At 46.2% G+C, this 21,187-nt stretch overlaps 2 protein-coding genes across 9 annotated transcripts in view, besides 1 other annotated feature; one reads left to right on the forward strand and one right to left on the reverse strand.

Moving 5' to 3' along the window:
* The window catches only part of FNBP1 (formin binding protein 1), a 166,693-nt gene extending 164,044 nt beyond the window's left edge, over positions 1–2,649 (reverse strand). For all 3 annotated transcript variants that reach the window (NM_001439055.1, NM_001439056.1, XM_017014492.3), the window contains exon 1: positions 2,115–2,649. The gene's annotated coding sequence lies outside the window, so the exon portion shown is untranslated. The remainder of the gene's footprint in view (positions 1–2,114) is intronic.
* Positions 2,664–2,973: a silencer, noted in NCBI's record as "silent region_20398". NCBI's record gives its function as "represses an Ori minimal core promoter by ATAC-STARR-seq in GM12878 lymphoblastoid cells {active_cell/tissue: GM12878}" and the evidence as "EXISTENCE:reporter gene assay evidence [ECO:0000049][PMID:35858748]".
* Positions 2,676–21,187, forward strand: part of GPR107 (G protein-coupled receptor 107) — an 86,259-nt gene continuing 67,747 nt past the window's right edge. For all 6 annotated transcript variants that reach the window (XR_007061336.1, NM_001136557.2, NM_001136558.2 and 3 more), the window contains exon 1: positions 2,676–2,843. Coding sequence is in view for 4 of the 6 variants with exons in the window: in NM_001136557.2 (NP_001130029.1) it covers positions 2,703–2,843 (141 nt within the window). In the remaining 2 variants the exon portion in view is untranslated. The remainder of the gene's footprint in view (positions 2,844–21,187) is intronic.

The following is a 21,187-nucleotide window of genomic DNA, read 5'->3' on the forward strand; positions in this document are numbered from 1 at the left end:
TTCACCATGTTGCCCAGGCTGGTGGCAAACTCCTGGGCTCAAGTTATCCACCAGCCTTGGCCTCCCAAAGTGCTGGGATTACAGGCATGAGACACCAGCCAGGCCTATCAAGTCTTTTGATAAGAAAAACAAATGGCAATTATACTTTCTTAAACTGGAGACTATTAACACATTAATTACTTAAAAGAGTTCTGAAAATGTCCAAACCGATATCAAATAATTATTTAATAATAATAGCACTAGATTCAACACTACACATTCTAGTAGCAACCTTAAGCTGATCCTGAAAAGTTAGAGAAAATAGTCCAGGCAGGGTGGCTTACGCCTGTAATCCAGCAATTTGGTAAGCCGAGGTGAGCAGATCACTTGAGGCCAGGAGTTCAAGACCAGCCTGGCCAACATGGTGAAACCCCATCTCTAGCAAAAATACAAAAATTAGCTGAGCATACTGGCGCACACCTGTGGTCCCAGCTAGGGAGGCTGAGGCATGAGAATCCCTTGAACCTGGGAGGTGGAGACTACAGTGAACAGATGTCACACCACTGCACTCAGTCCTGGGCAACAGTGTCTCTGTCTCAAAAAAAAAAGGAGAGAAAATAGAAAAATAAAATGTACTTGACTAAGAGAGTAAGGCTAAAAGCCAAGCTTAGGAGATCAGTCTTTCCAGCCCCTGCAGGCTTTTTCAGTCAATACCTTAAAGTGTAATGTCCCTTTGAAAATGTTGCCAGGAGAAGCAGGCATAACTTGTTCTGTTACTCAGCCTGTTTGTTTCCAGTTACAGCATCATGATTATGCAAATAATCTTTTCTTGAAACTATGAAATCACATGGCTAAATGTAATTGTCAAGGCAGCAGTTTTCTAGAATTTAAGAAGTAACTGTAGAGAAAATGCTCAACAATGTCTTTGTAGTCAGTTTTCCCTCATTCTTATTCCTCTCAATTCCAAAATAATGACTGGCACAATACAGCTTTCAAATATGTGAAAGAAGAAGATATCCTCTTAAACCCCTGGACAGACAGCACTGGTATGACCCTATGTAGGTCACATGATAATACCCAAGTATAGAGAAGCAAGGAATGCTATGAACCCAGTTTTAAGCCCTTATAAAACTGTTGTCCAGAAACTAAGACAAAAGTCTCCTATTTAAAACTATTTTAATGTTTCATCACTATTGTATTATAAAATGGGATTAAGATTCTTACCTGATTTTTTTTTTATTGAGACAGAGTCTCACTCTGTCACCCAGGCTGGAGTGCAGTGGCATGATCTTGGCTTACTGAAACCTCTGCCTCCCAGGTTCAAGTGCTTCTCCTGCCTCAGCCTCCCCAGTAGCTGGGACTACAGGCGCGCGGCCGTGATGCCCCGCTAATTTTTGTATTTTTAGTAGAGACGAGGTTTTGCCATGTTGCCCAGGCTGGTCCCGAACAACTGACTTTCAAGTGATCCGCCCGCCTCGGCGTTCCAAAGTGCTGGGATTCAGGCGCGAATCACCACCCTGCCAGGCCTCATTTCGTTTTTAGTACAGTATTATATTCAAATTTAAAACCAGAGATTTTCAAAGATGCCACTTAACTTTAAAAGATAAAAAGTACTCCAAAGCAGGTTGGGCGCAGTGACTCACGCCTGTAATCCCAGCACTTTGGGAGGCCGAGGCGGGAGGATAACTTGAGGTCAGGAGTTCGAGACCAGCCTGGCCAACATGGGAGAAACCCCGTGTCTACTAAAAATACAAAAATTAGCCGGGCGTGGTGGCGCAGGCCTGTAATTCTAGTTACTCCAGAGGCTGAGGCAGGAGAATCGCTTGAACCCAGAAGGCGGAGGTTGCAGTGAGCTGAGATCGTGCCATTGCACTCCAGCCTGGGTGACAAGAGCTAGACTCCGTCTCAAAAAAAAGAAGTTCCTATAATTTCTGAAAGAAGCAAAGAAAGTTTCCATACAGAATTAAGAGAAAAATGTTAAGACCCAGACTTGGGGTTGGATGAAATAGCATGAGGCAACAGAACACAGGAGTTAAGAGCTTCCGTGTGATTCCCAGCTCAACCTGGAGCAAATGACTTATTTCTCAGAGCCTCAGTTTGCTTACCTGTAAAGTAGGAATAATGATAATACGTACCTCCTAGCTCATCAAATTGTTCCAAAAATTAAATACAACAAAAGGCCTAACAAATTGCCTCATAAGGGCTCAATCAATCGTATTATTGCAACCATTTCGCTTGTATTTGAGTGTGAAGCGCCTAGAAAACCACAGGACCCCTACGGCGAGCCGGGAATTTTTAGATATTTTCCTCCGAGTCAACGCTCAGTGAAATCAGTTCAATCAGTGGCCCGACACCGTGCGGCTGACACAGCTTATCCCCCGACCCTGAGATCAGGGGTCCCCGGAGCCCAAGGTCGCTTCCAAAGCTCAGCGAGGCGGAGGTGCGGCCCGGGCTGGTCTGGTTCGGCCACCGTTGTTATGGCAACCGCCAATAGGTTGGCTTCATCTCTAACTGAAAGTCTGCACAGGAGCGGCCGATCGAAGGGCCCCGAGGTGGGCAGCACAGGCTCCTCGACGACTTCCTAGGTCGCAATCTCCAGGAAAACGACCACAGGGTCAGCGGAGCTAGCCGCCGAGCCCCGCTCCCCGGGCCCTTCCGGCGGCTGCGCCCTTTCACCCCGGACGTGGGCGGGAGAGGAAGCGGCTGGTGATGCTGGAACAAACATGGCCGCTCTGGCGCCCGTCGGCTCCCCCGCCTCCCGCGGTCCTAGGCTGGCCGCGGGCCTCCGGCTGCTCCCAATGCTGGGTTTGCTGCAGTTGCTGGCCGAGCCTGGCCTGGGCCGCGTCCATCACCTGGCACTCAAGGTAAAGCTTGGCAAGGCCGGGCCGGGGGGCGGAGGCCGAGGCCACTCCCCGGGTTTTAGGGCAACTTTGGCCCATTGGGGACCTCTGAGCCACTGGACCACCTCTTTGCCCCTGGCTGCGGCCTTTCACTGACAGGTGGCGGGGTCTGTGGGGAAGGCGGGTCTGGGCGGCGCTGGGGTCTTCGGGCTGACCGGCACGGGGCGGGAAGACTCGAGCTGAGGGAGGGGAAGGGGCTGAACTGTGGCGTTGCCCCCACGGACTCGGGAGGCTGCTCTTAAATCCCTGCTGGCTTCCCTGAATTCCTCACTCAGGGCAGCCCGATCGCCTTTCTTCTTTCTCCCCTCCAGCTTTTATGCTGGCTTTCCTTGTCCGCGGTCTCCGCTCTTCTGTGCCCTTGTACTGTACCGGCGGTTTGAAGGTACTTGGAACCTTAGCCTCAGTTTCCCATTTCGGTTTAGGGCGCTCTCTGGAGCGAGACTCTAGAGAAGGAATTTCAAATCTTGCTTAAAACACGTGACTGAGAATGTAAAGCCAGCATTAAGGTGTGTCTCTAATCAAAGGGCCTGCTTTTTCTTCCTCTATCCAGCCATTGTCTAGGGAAGAGAGATTTTTGATAAACCTAGAATGATACTCTGGATCTTGCTTTGTAACTAGCAGAGAAAAGACCTCTAAGGCTGAAACGCACCCTAAGGTGGTTCAGCAGTTTACTATATCTGGGAAATTGTCCAGGTGCTGTGGCTCATGCCTGTAATCCCAACACTGGGAGGCCTATGCAGGAGGATTGTTTGAGCCCAGGAGTTCGAGACCAGCCTAGTCAACGTGCTAAGGACCCCCTCCCCAAACCTGTCTCTACAAAAAATTAAAAATTAACCAGGTGTGGTGGCAAACGCCTGCAGCTTCTGGGGAGGCTGAGGCTGGAGGATCACTTGAGCCTAGGAGGTTGAGACTGCAGTGAGCCGTGATTACTCATTGCATTCCAGCCTGAGGAACAGAGCAAGACCCTTTCTCAAAACATATAAACAAAATTAGAGACATAGAAAAGTAAATTGTTATGACCCAAACTCTTGTACATTATTTTCATACCATACAGTCTTCTAAGAAGTGGAACTGTAGGCGGGGCGCGGTGGCTCACGCCTGTAATCCTAGCACTTTGGGAGGCCGAGGCAGGCAGATCACGAGGTGAGGAGATCGAGACCATCCTGGCTAGCACGGTGAAACCCTATCTCTACTAAAAATAAAAAAAAAATTAGCCAGGCGTGGTGGCAGGCGCCTGCAGTCCCAGCTACTCGGGAGGCTAAGGCAGGAGAATGGCGTGAACCTGGGAGGCGCTTGTAGTCCCAGCTACTCGGGAGACTGAGGCAGGAGAATGGCGTGAACCCGGGAGGCGGAGCTTGCAGTGAGCCAAGATCCCGCCACTGCACTCCAGCCTGGGCAACAGCGCGAGACTCCGTCTCAAAAAAAAAAAAAAAAAGAAGTGGAACTGTAGAAAGTTTGTCTTGTAAAAACACATTGTTTTAGCAAACTATGAAGCATTGTATTTTGTTAATGTAGAATTTAAAGAATACAGAATGAAATTAAAAGCCTGGCTTGACTGGGCACGGTGGCTCACACCTATAATCCTAGCACTTTGGGAGGCCGAGGTGGGCGGATCACCTGAGGTCAGGAGTTCGAGACCAGCCTGGCCAACATGGCAAAACCCCTCTCTACTAAAAATACAAATATTAGACGGGCATGGTGGCACATGCCTGTAGTCCCAGCTACTTGGGAGGCTGAGACAGGATAATTGCTTGAACCCGGGAGGCTGAGATTGCAGTGAGCAGAGATCATTGTGCCACTGCACTCCAGTCGGGGCGAAAGAACTATACTCTGTCTCAAATAAATAAATAAATAAATAAATAAATGCAAGCCTGACTGGATCCATACAACCTTACTTTTTGGTAACAACTTTTGTTGTTTGTAGGTAAAAATTATCCTGATTAAAATGGTTCAATCACAGGGGTGGGGGTGGGGCAAGTGAATTTTGACTCTTTGAGAATCTGTTGAGAGCTATAGAACCTCTCTCCAGAAAAGTGCATGTAGAAATGTAGACAAAACTTGGCCGGGCACGGTGGCTCACGCCTGTAATCCCAGCACTTTCAGAGGCTGAGGTGGGTGGATCACTTGAGGTCAGGAGTTTGAGACCAGCCTGGCCAACATTGTGAAATCACATCTCTACTAAAAATACAAAAATTAGCCAGGCGTGGTGGCAGGTACCTGTAATCCCAGCTACTCGGGGCTGAGGCAGGAGAATCGCTTGGACCCAGGAGTAGGAAGTTGCAGTGAGCCAAGATTGAGCCCCTGTACTCCAGCCTGGGCGACAGAGCAAGACTCCGTCTCAAAATAAATAAATAAATAAAATAAAATAAACATCCGAAGTCAGGGGTGTCCAATCTTTTGGCTTCCCAGGGCCACATTGGAAGATGAAAAGTTGTTTTGGGTCACACCTAAAATAGACTAACAGTAACCATAGCTGATAAGCTTTAAAAAATTGCAAAAAAATCTCATAATGTTTTAAGAAAGTTCACAAATTTGGCTGGGCGCAGTGGCTCACGCCTGTAATCCCAGCACTTTGGGAGGCCGAGATGGGCGGATCACAGGGTCAGGAGATTGAGACCATCCTGGCTAACAAGGTGAAACCCCGTCTCTACTAAAAATACAAAAAATTAGCCAGGCGTGGTGGCAGGTGCCGGTGGTCTCAGCTACTCGGGAGGCTGAGGCAGGAGAATGGCATGAACCCGGGAGTCGGAGCTTGCAGTGAGCCAAGATCACGCCATTGCATTCCAGCCTGGGTGACAGAGCGAGACTCCTTCTCAAAAAAAAAAAAAAAAAAAAAAAAAAAGAAAGTTCACAAATTTGTGTTGGGCCGCATTCAAAGCCATCCTGGGCCGCATGCATCCTGGACAAGCTTGTTCTGAGTTCTTGCCCAAGGAAATGGAAATCATTTGAAGAGAGCCTGTCAGAGCAGCAACTTTAGATTGTCTGTTTTGCTTGAGACTGAGTGAAATAGGGTACTTGATCAGATTAGAGACCCATAATGGCAAGGATAACATGAAGAGGTCACTGAGTACCAGGAGTATGCGTTGATCTCTTAAAACCTGGCTGCGCCTGGTAGCTCACACCTGTAATCTCAGCACTTAGGGAAGCTCGTTTGAGGTCAAGAGTTGGAGGCTGCGGTGAGCTATGATGGCGACACTACACTCTAGCCTGGGCGACAGAGCAAGACCCCATCTCAACAACAGCAACAAAAATTAGCCAGATGTGGTGGTGCATACCTATAGTCCCAGCTACCAGGGAGGCTGAGGTGGCAGGATCCCTTGAGCCTAGGAGTCAGAAGCTGTAGTGAGCTATAATGGCTCCAGCCTGGGGGACAGAGTGAGACCCTATTTCTTAAAAAAAAAAAAAAAAAAGACAAAGCAAAACAACCTTTTTATTGTGGAGAATTTCCAATATACTAAAGCAGATAGAATAGCATAATGAACTCCCATGTGCCTGTCACCCTCAATAACCATCAACACATGGCTGATTCTGCCTCATCCCACATACATCAATTTCTGGTTCTTATTTTTTATTATTTTTAAAATTAGAAATGAGTCCTCTTATATTTTTATTGTCTTACTCCATGCTACATTTTCCACCATTCTTCTGGCTTTCCCAGTCTTCTCACAGTCCATCTCTTTTGACTTTTCCCTATATTCCTTGCCTTTTTATTTATTTATTATTATTATTTTTTTTTTTTGAGACAGAGTTTTGCTCTGGCACCCAGGCTGGAAAGCAATGGCGCGATCTCAGCTTACAGCAACCTCCGCCTCCCGGTTCAAGCGATCTCCTGCCTCAACCTCCCAAGTAGCTGGGATTATAGGCATGCGCCACCACGCCTGGCTAATTTTTGTATTTTTAGTAGAGATGGGGTTTTGCCATATTGATCAGGCTAGTCTTGAACTCCTAACCTCAGGTGATCCACCTGCCTCGGCCTCCCAAAGTGCTGGGATTACAGGCGTGAGCCACCGCTCCTGGCTATTTATTATTTTTGTTTATTTTTTTAAAGACCTGTCAGCAGGAAATACTCCTTGCCTTTTAAGAACAACTTTATTGAGGTATAATTTACATACCATAAGATCACCCATTTTAACTGTATAATGCAATGATTGTTAGTAAGTTTACCGAGTTGTACAGCTATGACCACAATCTAGCCACAGAACGTTTCTGTCACCCCATAAGATCCCTTGTGTTGGTTTAGAATCAATTCCCATTCCCACCACTAGTCCCAGGCAGCCACTAATCTACTTTCTGTCTCTATAAACCTACCCTTTCTGGATGTTTAATGTAAGTGGAATCACAGGATGAGTAGGCTTTTTTTCTTTTTTTTTTTTTAGACGGAGTCTCGGACTGTTGCCTAGGCTGGAGCGCAATGGCGTTATCTCGGCTCACTGCAACCTCTACCTCCCAGGTTCAGGCGATTCTCCTGCCTCAGCCTCCCGAGTAGCTGAGATTACAGGCACCTGCCACCACGCTCAGCTAATTTTTGTATTTTTAGTAGAGACAGGGTTTTGCCATGGCGGCAAGGCTTGTCTCGAACTCCTGGCCTCAAGCAGTCCGCCCGCCTCGGCCTCCCAAAGTTCTGGGATCACAGGTGTGAGCCACTGCGCCCGGCCGATAGGTAGGCTTTTGTGCCCATCTTTCTTTCTTTCTTTTTTGAGCTTCGTTCATTTTGTGCCATGTGTCAGTAATTCATTCCTTTTTACTGTTGAATGGTCTTCCAGCGTGTGGATATATCTTCTTTTGCTTAGCAGTTCACCAGTCGATGGATGTTTGGGTTGTTTCCACTGTTTGGCCATTATGAATGATGGTGCCATAAACGTTCACATTGCAAGGCTTTGTGGGGCCATATGTTTTCATTTCTCTTGGATGATATCCAGGAGTGGAGTAGAATTGCTGGGTCATATGATAGATTTATGTTTAACTTTTTAAGAAACTGCCAAACTATTTTCCAAAGTGGCTCTACCATTTTACATCCCACTAGCAATTTATGAGAGTTCTCTTTCTTCACAATGTTATCAGCATTTGTCATTGTCTTCCTATATTATTTTAAAGCATATTGGCTGGGTGTGGTAGCTCATGCCTGTAATGGCCTTTGGGAGGCCAAGGCAGGTGGATCACCTGAGGTCAGGAGTTCGAGACCAGCCTAGCCAACATGGTAAAACCCTGTCTCTACTAAAAATACAAAAATTAGCCGAGTGCGGTGGCGGGCGCCTGCAATCCAAGCTACTGGGGAGGCTGAGGCAGGAGAATCACTGTAACGCAGGAGGTGGAGGTTGCTATGAGCTGAGATTGTGCCACTGCACTCAAGCCTGTGCGATAGAGTGAGACTCCCATCTCAAAAAAAAATAAATAAATAAAGCAAATCAAAGGCATTGCATCATTTCATTCTTAAATATTTTGATATTACCTGTAAAAAATAAGAGCTCTTTTAAGAACATGGCTACAATGCTATTATAACAAAAAAATCCTTAGTATCATATGTCAGATCAGATTCAAATTTTCATTGGTCATAAATGGATTGAAAAAGTTTTGAAAAATCAGGATCTAAGTCACATCCTCATACTGTGATCAGTTAATACGTCTTTTTTTTTTTTTTTTTTTTTTTGAGATGGAGTTTGTTCTTGTTGCCCAAGCTGGAATGCCATGGTATAATCTCGGCTCACTGCAACCTCTGCCTCCCGGGTTCAAGTGATTCTCCTGCCTCGACCTCCTGAGTAGTTGGGATTACAGGCACCTGCCACCACACCTGGCCAATTTTTTGTATTTTTAGTAGAGACGGAGTTTCACCATATTGGTCAGTCTGGTCTCGAACTCCTGACCTCAGGTGATTTACCCGCCTTGGCCTCCCAAAGTGATAGGATTACAGGCATGAGCCACCAGGCCCAGCGTGATCAGTAAATAAGTTTTATTTCGGGGGGAGGTTGGGGGGCGCACGGAGTCTCATCCTGTCCCCCAGGCTGGAGTGCAGTGGCGCGATCTCGGCTCATTGCAACCTCCGCCTCCCAGGTTCAAGCAATTCTCCTGCCTCAGCCTCCTGAGTAGCTGGGATTACAGGCACCCACCACTACGCCCAGCTAATTTTTGTATTTTTATTAGAGATGGGGTTTTGCCCTGTTGACCGGGCTGGTCTCAAACTCCTGACCTCAGATGTTCTGCCCACTTTGGCCTCCCGAAGTGCTGGGATTACAGGTGTGAGGCACCGCGCCCAGCCTATCCATTTCTTATTAATGGAATAAAAATGATAATCCGAGTTTTTTTTTTTTTTTTTTTTTTTTGAGATAAGGTCTCATTGTGTTGCCCTGGCTGGAGTACAGTGGCTATTCACCAGTGCAAACATAGTGCACGATAGCCTCCAACTCCTGGGCTCAAGCCATCTTCCCGTTTCAGCCTCCAAAGTAGCTAAGACTACAGATGCTTGCCACTGTGCTCGGCTAATCTGAGTTTTACATCAAAAATTGTCTAAATATGATTTTTATATTGTGTTAAAAACACAATATTTTGATGACTGATCATTCTGGCTTTCAAGTAGATGCTGCAAATGAGCAAGTGGACAGGAAGTGCTTTGCTAAAGCCTCAGAAATTTGGGCATTTCTTGGGTTTGATACTTCTATGATAATTATCCACAAATTATAACTCAAATACTCTAGACTTTGTGTCAGCAGCTTAGCAAGGCATGTAGTTTAGAGCAGAACTTGGGAATAGCCAGTCCTCACTGCTGTCGAGTGCAGTGTAACTTCTGGGCTAGTCATATTAGAAGCCTTCCTCGCTGATGGGATCTAGACTAGAAGATGTTGGATGAAAAGATAAGTTAAAGCAGAACATCACACAAAAGGAGTATGCACCTGAAACTTTATTTTGACTTAAAATCTGCCAATATACATTCATTGACTTAAATGAGTGACATTAAGCTTACTGGATGACTTCGCAACACATGCCTTCTGTCTCTTACTCATTCAACAAATACTCTTCAGGTGTCTTTTATATACCGGGTGGGCACTTCTAGACACAGGCTGAGGCAGTGAGCGGGACTAAGCCCCGACCTTTGTGGAGTATTCATTCTAGTGGTAATGGACAGCTAGCTTCTAAACACCTGAATGCACAAGTAATTTAAAAATGGGATAAATTGATGAGAAAATAAAACAGTATTGGAACCAAGAGTAATGGAATTGGAAATTACTGTGGAGAGAGACTCTGAAGAGTTAATATGTGAGTGGACTTAATGAATGAGCCAGGCATTTGAGGGTCTAGGGAAGAATATCACAGGCAGAGGAACAGGAAGTGCAAAGTCCCTGAGTGGGAGCATCTTCATGTTCCCATGTCTATGGAGGCCCCTATGGCTGGAGCAGAGTGATCTAGGGGAGAGGTACACATGAGCCTGGAGGCCATGGTAGGATGTGTGGATTTTATTCTGCGTGATGAGGAACCTGCCCTGGTTTTTGGCATAGGGAAGTAGTTTCCTGAAGAAGTGACATTAAAGCTGAGACTGGAAGAGTAAGAATTAGCCAGGGCAGGCCGGGCGTGGTGGCTCACGCCTGTAATCCCAGCACTTTGAGAGGCCAAAGTGGGCAGATCCCCTGAGGTCAGGAGTTCAAAACCTGCTTGGCCAACATGGTGAAATACTTTCTCTGTTAAAAATACAAAAATTAGCCGGGCATGGTGATGGGCACCTGTAATCCCAGCTACTCGGGAGGCTGAGGCAGGAGAACCACTTGAACCTGGTAGGCCAGTGAGGCCAGTGAGCCGAGATTGCACCACTGCACTCCAGCCTGGGTGACAGGGTGAGACTCTGTCTCAAAAAAAAAAGCATTAGCCAAGGCAAAATGAGGTTAGAGCTTATGTCTGGAAGAGGAAGTGAAAGAGATTGATTGTTCGTGTGCCACTCGGATTCTTAGTTTCCTACTTTGTAAAATAAGGATAATGGTAGCTTTCCCACAGGGTAGTTATGAGGATTAGATAAAATTATGTAAAATAATAGCACTGAGGCTGGGTACGGTGGCTCACACCTGTAATCCCAGCACTTTAGGAGGCCAAGGCGGGTAGATCACCTGAGGTCGGGTTTGAGACCAGCCTGGCCAACATGGTAAAACCCCATCTCTACTAAAAATACAAAAAATTAGCCGGCGTGGTGGCGCATGCCTGTAATCCCAGCTACTCGGGAGGCTGCGGCAAGAGAATTGCTTGAACCTGGGAGGCGGAGGTTGCAGTGAGCTGAGATTGCGCTATTGCACTCCAGCCTGGGTGACAAGAGCAAGACCCTGTCTCGAAAATGATAATAATAATAATAATAATAATAATAATAATAATAATAGCACTGAGTAGTAGACTGATCTAAGTAGTAGTTCATTCATTCAACGTTTATTAAATACCTACTATGTGCTAGGCACTAGAGATATACAAATGAGACAGGCCCATAGACAGGTAGTTATGATATAGCATGGTGGCTCTTTCGCCTGCCTGCCTGCCTGCCTGCCTTCCTGCCTTCCTGCCTGCCTGCCTGCCTGCCTGCCTGCCTTCCTTCCTTCCTTCCTTCCTTCCTTCCTTCCTTCCTTCCGTTTGTCTGTCCATCCGTCTTTTATTTTTTTTTAAATAAGAGTGTCTCACTCTGTCACCCAGCCTAGAACTCAGTGGTGCAATCATAGCTCACTGCAGCCTCAAACGTTTGGGCTCAAGGGATCCTCCTGCCTCAGCCTGCCTGCCTAGTAGCTAGTACTACAGGTGCACACCACCACATCTGACTAATTTTTTTATGTGGATATTTTGTAGAGATGGGGTCTTGCTACTTTGTCCAGGCTGGTCTTGAACTCCTGGTCTCAAGCACTCCTACCACCTTGGTCCTGAACTCTTTATGAGAGGATAAGACAGGGAAGATTTGGTTATTTTAATACCAATGTCTGGCGTATTTGAACTAGAATGACTCCTAACCTCAGTGTACACTGTAAATGATCTTTTTTAAACAGACATTTCAGGGTTTCATCTCTTTTAAGTGTGAATATCTATTAAGCAGCTGCTCTTTAGCATGTGTGTATACATAAAAATATAACATGCTTTTTTTTTTTTGAGACGGAGTCTCGCTCTGTCGCCCAGGCTGGAGTGCAATGGCATGATCTCAGCTCACTGCAAGCTCCACTTCCCGGGTTCATGCCATTCCCCTGCCTCAGCCTCCCGAGTAGCTGGGACTACAGGCGTTTGCCACCACATCCGGCAAATTTTTTGTATTTTTAGTAGAGACAGGGTTTCACCGTGTTAGCCAGGATGGTCTCAATCTCCTGACCTCATGATCTGCCCGCCTTGGCCTCCCAAAGTGCTGGGATTACAGGCATGAGCCACCGTACCCGGCTATAACATGCTTTTTAAATTATTTAAAATTTTTTTCAGTTTTTAATTATTTTTTCCTATTATTTGTTTTTCTTCTTTATTCAAGTTTCCACACTCCACATCAAACATGCCTTTTTTAGTGACTGCTGTTTGGTGGCATGTATGCCAGTGTGCTTCCTTCTGAAAATACCAGTGTAGTATAATAAAATATTTGATTGCTGGGGTTTCTTAATAAAACAGCCCTGGGAAATTCCAGTGATTGCTTTGTCTTTTTTTTTCTTTTTCCTTTGTATTGCTTCCCTTTACTACTACTGTATAGATTTTTTTCTTCATGGAGTTTATTCTTTTTTTTTTTTTTTTGAGGGTCATACTCTGTCACCCAGGCTGGAATGCAGTGGCACGATCTCGGCTCACTGCAGCCTCTATCTCCCAGATTCAAGTGAATCTCTTGCCTCAGCCTCCCAAGTAGCTGGGACTACAGGCATGCGGCACCATGCCCAGCTAATTTTTGTATTTTTAGTAGAGACGGGGTTACACCATGCTGGCCAGACGGGTCTCGAACTCCTGACCTCAGGTTAGGGAGGGTTTGGGAGGCCTTGGCCTCACAAAGTGCTGGGATTACAAGTGTGAGCCACTGCGCCCAGCCAGGGTTTATTCTTTTTGTAACTAATAAAAAGTAGGTGTCAAGAAATTGTATCTGAACTATAAAATAGCTTTTCTTTTTTTTTTTTTTTTTTTTTTTGAGACGGAGTCTCGCTCTGTCGCCCAGGCCGGACTGCGGACTGCAGTGGCGCAATCTCGGCTCACTGCAAGCTCCGCTTCCCGGGTTCACGCCATTCTCCTGCCTCAGCCTCCCGAGTAGCTGGGACTACAGGCGCCCGCCACCGCGCCCGGCTAATTTTTTGTATTTTTTTTAGTAGAGACGGGGTTTCACCTTGTTAGCCAGGATGGTCTCGATCTCCTGACCTCATGATCCACCCGCCTCGGCCTCCCAAAGTGCTGGGATTACAGGCGTGAGCCACCGCGCCCGGCCAAAATAGCTTTTCTTTATCCCTTTCTACATCTGTTTAGTTGCAGAATAACAAAAATATGGGTCATGTAATTAGGCACTAGGACATTTCAGGGTAAATGAGTAAGAGGATGGATCTGTATGTGTTGGGTTGACTAGTGCCCCCACAAGTTCATGTCTGCTTGGAACCTCAGAATGTAACCTTATTTGGAATAGTGTCTTTGCAGTTAACATTAGGTCATATGCGGTTAGGGTGGGCCCTATTTTCAGTGTGCCAGGTGCCATTATAACAAGTGGAGAGGGCGCAGAGGCACACACAGAGGGAAGAAGGCGATGTGATGGTGGAGGCAGAGCCTAGAGTGAGGCAGCTGCAAACCAAGAATGTTAAGAATCCTGGTAATCACCAGGAGCTTGAAAGAGGCAAGGAAGGATTCTTCTCCAGAGCCTTTAGAGGGACTGTGGCCCTGCTGACGCCTTGATTTTGGACTTGTAGCCTCCAGAACTGTGAGAGAACAAACTTCTGTGGTTGTAAGCTACCCAGTGTGTGGCTATTTGTTACAGCAGCCTTAGAAAGAGAATGCAATATATACCAATAACCTCACCCCAAAGCTCTAACTTCATAGGAACGTGTTATTACTTTATTTTTGAGTAATAACTTTCAGAGAACATGTTTAGCCATTAAGTGATATTCGCAGCCGGGCACGGTGGCTCATGCCTATAATCCCAGCACTTTGGGAGGCCGAGGTGGGCAATCACCTGAGGTCAGGAGTTCGAGACCAGCCTGGCCAACATGGTGAAACCCCGTCTCTACTAAAAATACAAAATATTAGCTGGGCGTGGATCCCCAGCTTCTTGGGAGGCTGAGGCAGGAGAATCGCTTGAACCCAGGAGGCAAAGGTTACAGTGAGCCGAGATCGCACCATTGCACTCCAGCCTGGACAACAAGAGTGAAACTCCATCTCAAAAACATAATAATAATAAATAAAAACCCATTAAGTGATGTTTGTAGGCCTGGTGCGGTGGCTCATGCCTGTAATCCCAGCACTTAGGGAGGCCGCAACGGGCACCTCACTTGAGGTCAAAAGTTAAAGACCAGCCTGGCCAGTATGGTGGAACCCCATCTCTACCAAAAAATGCAAAAATTAGCCCGGCGTGGTGGCAGGTGTCTCTAGTCCCAGCTACTTGGGAGGCTGAGGCAGGAGAATCACTTGAACCCAGGAGGTGGAGGTTGCAGTGAACCAAGATGGTGCCCCTGCCCTCCAGCCTGGGTGACAGAGTGAGACCCTGTCTCAAAAAAAAAAAAAAAAAAAAAAAGTGATGTTTGTAAGTAAGTAAATCAAATCCTTCTTTGCACAAATACTGTAGAATCGGTGCCAGTCGATCAGGACCCACCTGATTACACCAGCTTTATGCAGTGGATCTTTCCTAATCCATTGGCTGCAGCCTCACTTTACATACTGCTTTGTGAATTCTGAGTAGGGAGGGATGCATTTATTCACTCCCCCCCAAAAGTATCTGGAAAGTTTTGGGAAATTAAAAGGATTTTCCTGGCCGGGCTTGGTGACTCATGCCTGTAATCTCAGCATTTTGGGAGACCAAGGCGGGTGGATCACCTGAAGTTCAAGACCAGCCTGGCCAACATGGTGAAACCCTGTCTCTACTAAAAATACAAATTTATCTGGGTGTGGTGGTGTGCACCTGTAATCCCAGCTACTTGGGAGGATGAGGCAGGAGAATCGCTTGAACCCGGGAGGCAGAGGTTGCAGTGAGCTGAAATTGCGCCACTGCACTCCAGCCTGGGCAATAAGAGTGAAACTCTGTCCCAAGAAAAATAAAAATAAAAATAAATTTAAAAAGAATAAAAGAGGATTTTCCTCATCTCGTTCCCATTGATTATTATGATTGCGCATTGATGATGATGATGGTGATGATGACGACGATGATGATGATTGTGCCTCATCTCGGGCCCATTGATTATTAGCTGCTCCATTCTGGTAAATCTCAAACCTTTCCTAGGCATGCCTCCAAAACTATGATCAGTATGAAAAATTAATGTTTGCTGCAACTGGGCGCATGTCCATCCGTAGGTTAGCCATGTCTGTCCAGAATTTTTAGTTGGCCATGTGGACCCAGTGAGGTAGAAAAGGAGACAGTGTACTGTCGCAGCAGTGTGTGGTCAAGCCCAGCACACTGGGCTTTGTCTTGGGAGTGTAGAAAAGAGCTTGCTTGGCCGGGCGCGGTGGCTCATGCCTGTAATCCCAGCACTTTGGGAGGCCGAGGCAGGCAGATCACGAGGTCAGGAGATCGAGACCATCCTGGCTAACACGATGAAACCCCGTCTCTACTAAAAATACAAAAAAATTAGCCGGGTGTGGTGGCGGGCGCCTGTAGTCCCAACTACTCGGGAGGCTGAGGCGGGAGAATGGCGTGAACCCAGGAGGCGGAGCTTGCAGTGAGCCGAGATGGCGCCACTGCACTCCAGCCTGGGCGACAGAGCGAGACTCCGTCTCCAAAAAAAAAAAAAGAGCTTGGTTATGGCAGCCAAGAGCTTACTCAAGCTGACTTGGATGGAAGGACAATAGGAAGAGAGCTGGGAGAATGTGACACTGAGGGAGATAGTGTTGATACATTTAGTGTCCTTTTAAATCTTTCTTCCCTCTTATGTATGCAGAGAGAGTTCTAGTATAATGAGACTGTGCTGTGTACGCAGAAAGGTTGAGACTACTGAGCTAATAATGATAACTGTTTTGAGCTTATTTGGGGAAAATGAAGTGTCCTATAAAATCCAAATATTAAGTGATAGTAATAGCTGCTTGTTATTAAAGCATCTGTGATAAGTCAGAGACTGTGCTAAATATTTGATGCTTTTTATTCGACTCCTCGTAGCAGCCCCTTGAGATAGATGTTATTATCCCTGCTTTATAACTTAAGAAAATGGAGCTCTGGTTAAATAAGTGGAGGAGTCAGAGTTTGAACCCAGGTTAGCGCACCTTCCATTTTACCTGCACTGGGTAAGCTTCCAGTGCCTAAAGCCCTCAGTGACTGTCTGAGAAGACAGCCCGTTTGCCAGCAGCTCAGTCTTCTGTGTAGTTCTTCTCTCACTTCATGTGCTTAGCTGGTGGATTTTTGTTATGTGAGTGAATTTGACCCCATTCCATTTGTGAATTGCTATGTATGTGCAATGAGCCAAGAATTATAATATTAAACTTCTTAGGTTAGTTTCTCCTACCACTAATAGAAGGCAGCTAATGACTGGTAGTCCCCCCCCACCGCCCCCTTTTTTTTTTTTGAGACAGTCTCACTCTGTCATCCAGGCTGGAGTGCAGTGGTCTAATCTTGGCTCACTGCAACCTTTGCCTCCCAAGTCCAAGTGATCCTCCTGCCCCAGCCTCCCAAGCAGCTGGGATTACAAGCGGGCGCCACCACGCCTGGCTAATTTTTGTATTTTCAGTAGAGATGAGGTTTCACCATATTGGCCAGGCTCAAACTTCTGACTTCAAGTGATCCTCCCACCTCAGCCCCCCAAAGTGCTGGGATTACAGGTGCGAGCCATCGAGCTCAGCCATGATTGGTAGTCTTATTCTTGTTTTCTTTTTTTTTTTTTTCTGTATTAGTAGAGAAATTGCTTGTGGTGCCTGAAGGTACTTTTTGCTTACCTTTTGGATCTGATTTTTGTTTTGATCAGTGGTCACAAATTCAAGATGCGGTTAGAAGCCAGCTTGGTTTTGTAAGTCGGCTGGCTCAGTGAGACCGCAGGGGAAGGGGTAGCAGAAGAGCACAGGCTCCTGCCACAGTGGCCCCTGCTCGTTGCTCCAGAGAATGGGTTCTTATTGTACTGGAACGTGGCCTACAAGCTCTGGATCTTGTGGCTTTTTTTTTCTTCTCTTTTTTTAAATAAGAGAAGCTGGAAATTCATGTTTTTACGCGGAATTCATTGGCAACTGATTCAAATTTAAAAACAAAAGTAAAACAAAACACTGTGTTAGCCATGTATAACATGTGGGTTAATATAAGTCTGTAGACCCCCAGTTGGTGAGGTGAAGCTAGCTCAGTTAAGTGTTACTGTATTTCTTATTTTCTAAAATTCAGTTTATAAGAAAAACTAAATTGAGGTATCATTACTCTATTTTTTTTATGACTGAAAGCAGTTTAATATGAAGTCGGTGCAGAAGTTCTGACATTTAGTTAAAATAGCAGAACTGTCAGTATAAAACAACCGTTTTTAAAGTGAGGAAGAAAAGAGCAAATACATCAAAACAGTATGTCCTCTTTTTTATTTTTTTTGAGACGAGGTTTTGCTTTGTCACCCAGGCTGGAGTGCTGTGGCGCAATCTTGGCTCACTGCAGCCTCCGCCTCCTGGATGGGTTCAAGTGATCCTCAGCCTTCTGAGTAGCTGGGACCACAGGTGCACACTGCCACACCCAGCTAATTTTTTGTATTTTTGGCAGAGATGGGGTTTCACCATGTTGCCCAGGCTGGTCTCAAACTCCTCAGCTCAAGTGATCTGCCTGCCTCGGCCTCCCAAAGTGCTGGGATTACAGGTGTGAGCCAGCGTGCCCTGCCCTAGGATATACTTTTTATTTGGTTGTAAAAAGTATGTGGTAGTTAAAAAAATAGATTTGGGACTTAATTCTGAGTTAGGTTACTGGCCCTGCCATCTACTAGCCTAATGATTTTATGCAAGTTTTAACTCTGAGCCTCTGTTTCCTCATCTACCAAATGGACATGTTTGAGGCTACTTGCCTCATAGAGTTGTAAGAACTTGAGGTGATGTATGAAGCTCTTAGTGTAGTACTGGAGACAAGGTCAAGTGCTTGCAGTCTCTGAAATCCTTGGTGAAACAGGCACCCTTTACCACGGTGTCAGTGCTAATGGAAATGATAGGCTGGAGTTTGAGAATGTAGCTGAACCTCCATTGCCTGTGTCAGTGCTAATGGAAATGATAGGGTGGAAGTGGAGAAGGTAGCTGTATCTCCATTGCTTGTATCTGGTATTGTTATCCTCATGCTGCTTTGTCACATCCTCCTCGCTTGTACTTTCTTCAGTCTCAAGATATCTATGCCTCTATGACTTTTATAGTGAGGTATAGTTTACGAAGTCACTTCCATACATATCTTATTTGACATGACACGATAGCTTAAAATGGAGGTGGGGAACAGGTTAGGTGAAGGTCCTACAGATATTATTGGCAACAGTACTTTCTTTCTTTTTATTTTATTTATTTTTTGAGACAGAGTCTCACTCTGTCACCCATGCTGGAGTGCAGTGGCACGATCTCAGCTCACTGAAAACTCTGCCTCCCGGGTTCAAGCGATTCTCTTGCCTCAGCTTCTCTAGTAGCTGGGACTACAGGCATGCACCACCACACCCGGCAAATTTTTGTATTTTTAGTAGAGATGGGGTTTCATCATGTTGGCCAGGCTGGTCTCAAACTGACCTAAGGGTATCTGCCCACCTTGGCCTCCCATCGTGCTGAGATTACAGGCATAAGCCACCGTGCCTGGCCTCTTTTTTTTTTTTTTTTTTTTTTTTTTTAAATTTTTTTGAGACAGGGTCTTGCTCTGTTGCCCAGGCTGGAGTGCAGTGGCATGATCTTGGCTCATTTGGCCTCGTGGGCCCAAACTGTCCTCCCACCTCAGCCTCTTGAGTAGCTGGGACCATAGGCTTGCACCACCACACCCGGCTAATTTTTTTTTTTTTTTTTTGGTAGAGATGGGTTTTCACCATGTTGCCCAGGCCGGCCTTAAAATACGGGGCTCAAGTGATCCTTCTGCATTAGCCTCCTGAGTAGCTAGCATCACAGGCACCTGCTATTACTCCTGGCTATTTATTTATTATTTATTTTGAGACAGAGTCTCGCTCTTTCGCCCAAGCTAGAGTGCGGTGGCGTGATCTCGGCTCACTATAAGCTCCGCCTCCCAGGTTCAAGTTATTCTCCTGCCTCAGCCTCCCACGTAGCTGGGATTACAGGCATGTGTCACCATGCTTGGCTACTTTTTGTATTTTTTGTAGAGATGAGGTTTCGCCATGTTGGCCAGGAGGGCCTCAAACTCCAGACCTCAGGTGAACCACCTGCCTTGACCCCCCAAAGTGCTGGGATTACAGGCGTGAGCCACCGCGCCTAGCCAAAAAGAAAAAGTTGAAAGGATATATATTTGCCCTTATTTATGAAAGACTTGAAAGAAATTCACGAAAGTATAAAAAAGTCAGTGCCAGTGGGATTGTGGGTAACAATTTTTTTTTCTTTTTTTCTTTTTTTTGGAGATAGCCTTGCTTTGTCTCCCAGGCTGGAGTGCAGTGGTGTAATCATAGCTCACAGTAGCCTCAAACATCTGGGCTCAGGGGATCCTCCATCTCAGCATCCCCAGTAGCTGTGGCTACAGTTGCATGCCACCACGCCTGGCCAAATTTTAAAATGTTTTGTAGAGGTGGGGGTCTTTCTGTGTTGCCCAGGCTGGTCTTGAACTCCTGTCCTCAAGTGACCCTCCCACCTCAGCCTCCCAAAGTGTTGGGATTATAGATGAGAGTCACCAGGCCCAGTCCTAACTTTTTTTTTTTCTTTTTTTTTTTTTTTTTTGAGACAGAGTCACACTCTGTGGCGCAGGCTGGAGTGCAGTGATGCAGTCCCAGCCCACTGCAGCCTCGACATCCTGGGCTAAAGCAATCGTCCCACTTCAGCCTCCTGAATAGCTAGGATGCCACCACAACTGGCTAATTTTTTTTTTTTTTTTTGCTAGAGATGGGGTTTCTCTGTTGCCTAGGGTGGTTTCAAACTCCTGGGCTCAAGCAGTCTGCCTGCCTCAGTCTCCCAAAATGTTGGGATTATAGGCGAGAGCCACCTCGCCTGGCCCCTCACCCTTTTTTTTTCTATCAAATGTTACTGAATATAGCTTTTTACATTTAATGTTGTATCATGATTACTTTCCCTTGTTAGGAAATGATAATGTGAAAATGGCTCTCATATCAGATCTAGTTTGAAGCCCCAGCTTTATTAGCTATAGTCTGCTTGGCCTCAGGTAGTCATTTCTCCTCTGAACTGGTGTCTTCATCGCTACCGTGGGGCTGCTTCTCTTAACCACACTGAGCTGAGCGAGGGTCAGAAATCATAGGTAAAGCCCTTGGCACATAACCTAGTTCTTGGAAGACTCTGAAAACTGGGAGTTGTGATGCTGTTGTTATTATCATTATTATTATTATTACTATTTTTGTTTTGTTTTGTTTTTTGCGATAAAGTCTTGCTCTTGTCCCCCAGGCTGGAGTGCAATGGTGCAATCTCCGCTTACTGCAACCTCTGCCTCCCAGGTTCAGGCGATTCTCCTGCCTCAGCCTCCCAAGTAGCTGGGATTAACAGATGCCTGCCAGCAAGCCTGGCTTATTTTTGTACTTTTAGTAGAGACGGGGTTTCACCATGTTGGCCAGGCTGGTCTCAAACTCCTGACCTCAGGTGATCCGTCCGCCGCGGCCTCCCAAAGTGCTGGGATTACAGGCGTAATCCAGCCTTATTATTATTATTTTTGAGACAGTCTTGCTCTGTTTCCCAGACTGGAGTGCAGTGGTACAACCCGGCTCCCTGCAGCCTCTGCCTCCTCGGTTCAAGCACTTCTGCCTCAGCCTACCAAGTAGCTGGGATTACAGGCACACACCACCACACCTGGCTAATTTTTGTATTTAGTAGATATGGGGTTTCACCATGTTGGCCAGGCTGATCTTGAACTCTTTCTATTTATTTATTTTTTTATTTATTTAATTTTTTTTTTTTTTTGAGATGGAGTCTCGCTGTCGCCCAGGCTGGAGTGCAGTGGCGTGATCTCGGCTCACTGCAGGCTCCGCCCCCTGGGGTTCACGCCATTCTCCTGCCTCAGCCTCCCGAGTAGCTGGGACTACAGGCGCGTGCCACCTCGCCCAGCTAATTTTTTGTGTTTTTAGTACAGATGAGGTTTC

Source organism: Homo sapiens, chromosome 9, assembly GCF_000001405.40.
Source record: "Homo sapiens chromosome 9, GRCh38.p14 Primary Assembly".
In the NCBI taxonomy this organism is placed as follows: Eukaryota; Metazoa; Chordata; class Mammalia; order Primates; family Hominidae; genus Homo; species Homo sapiens.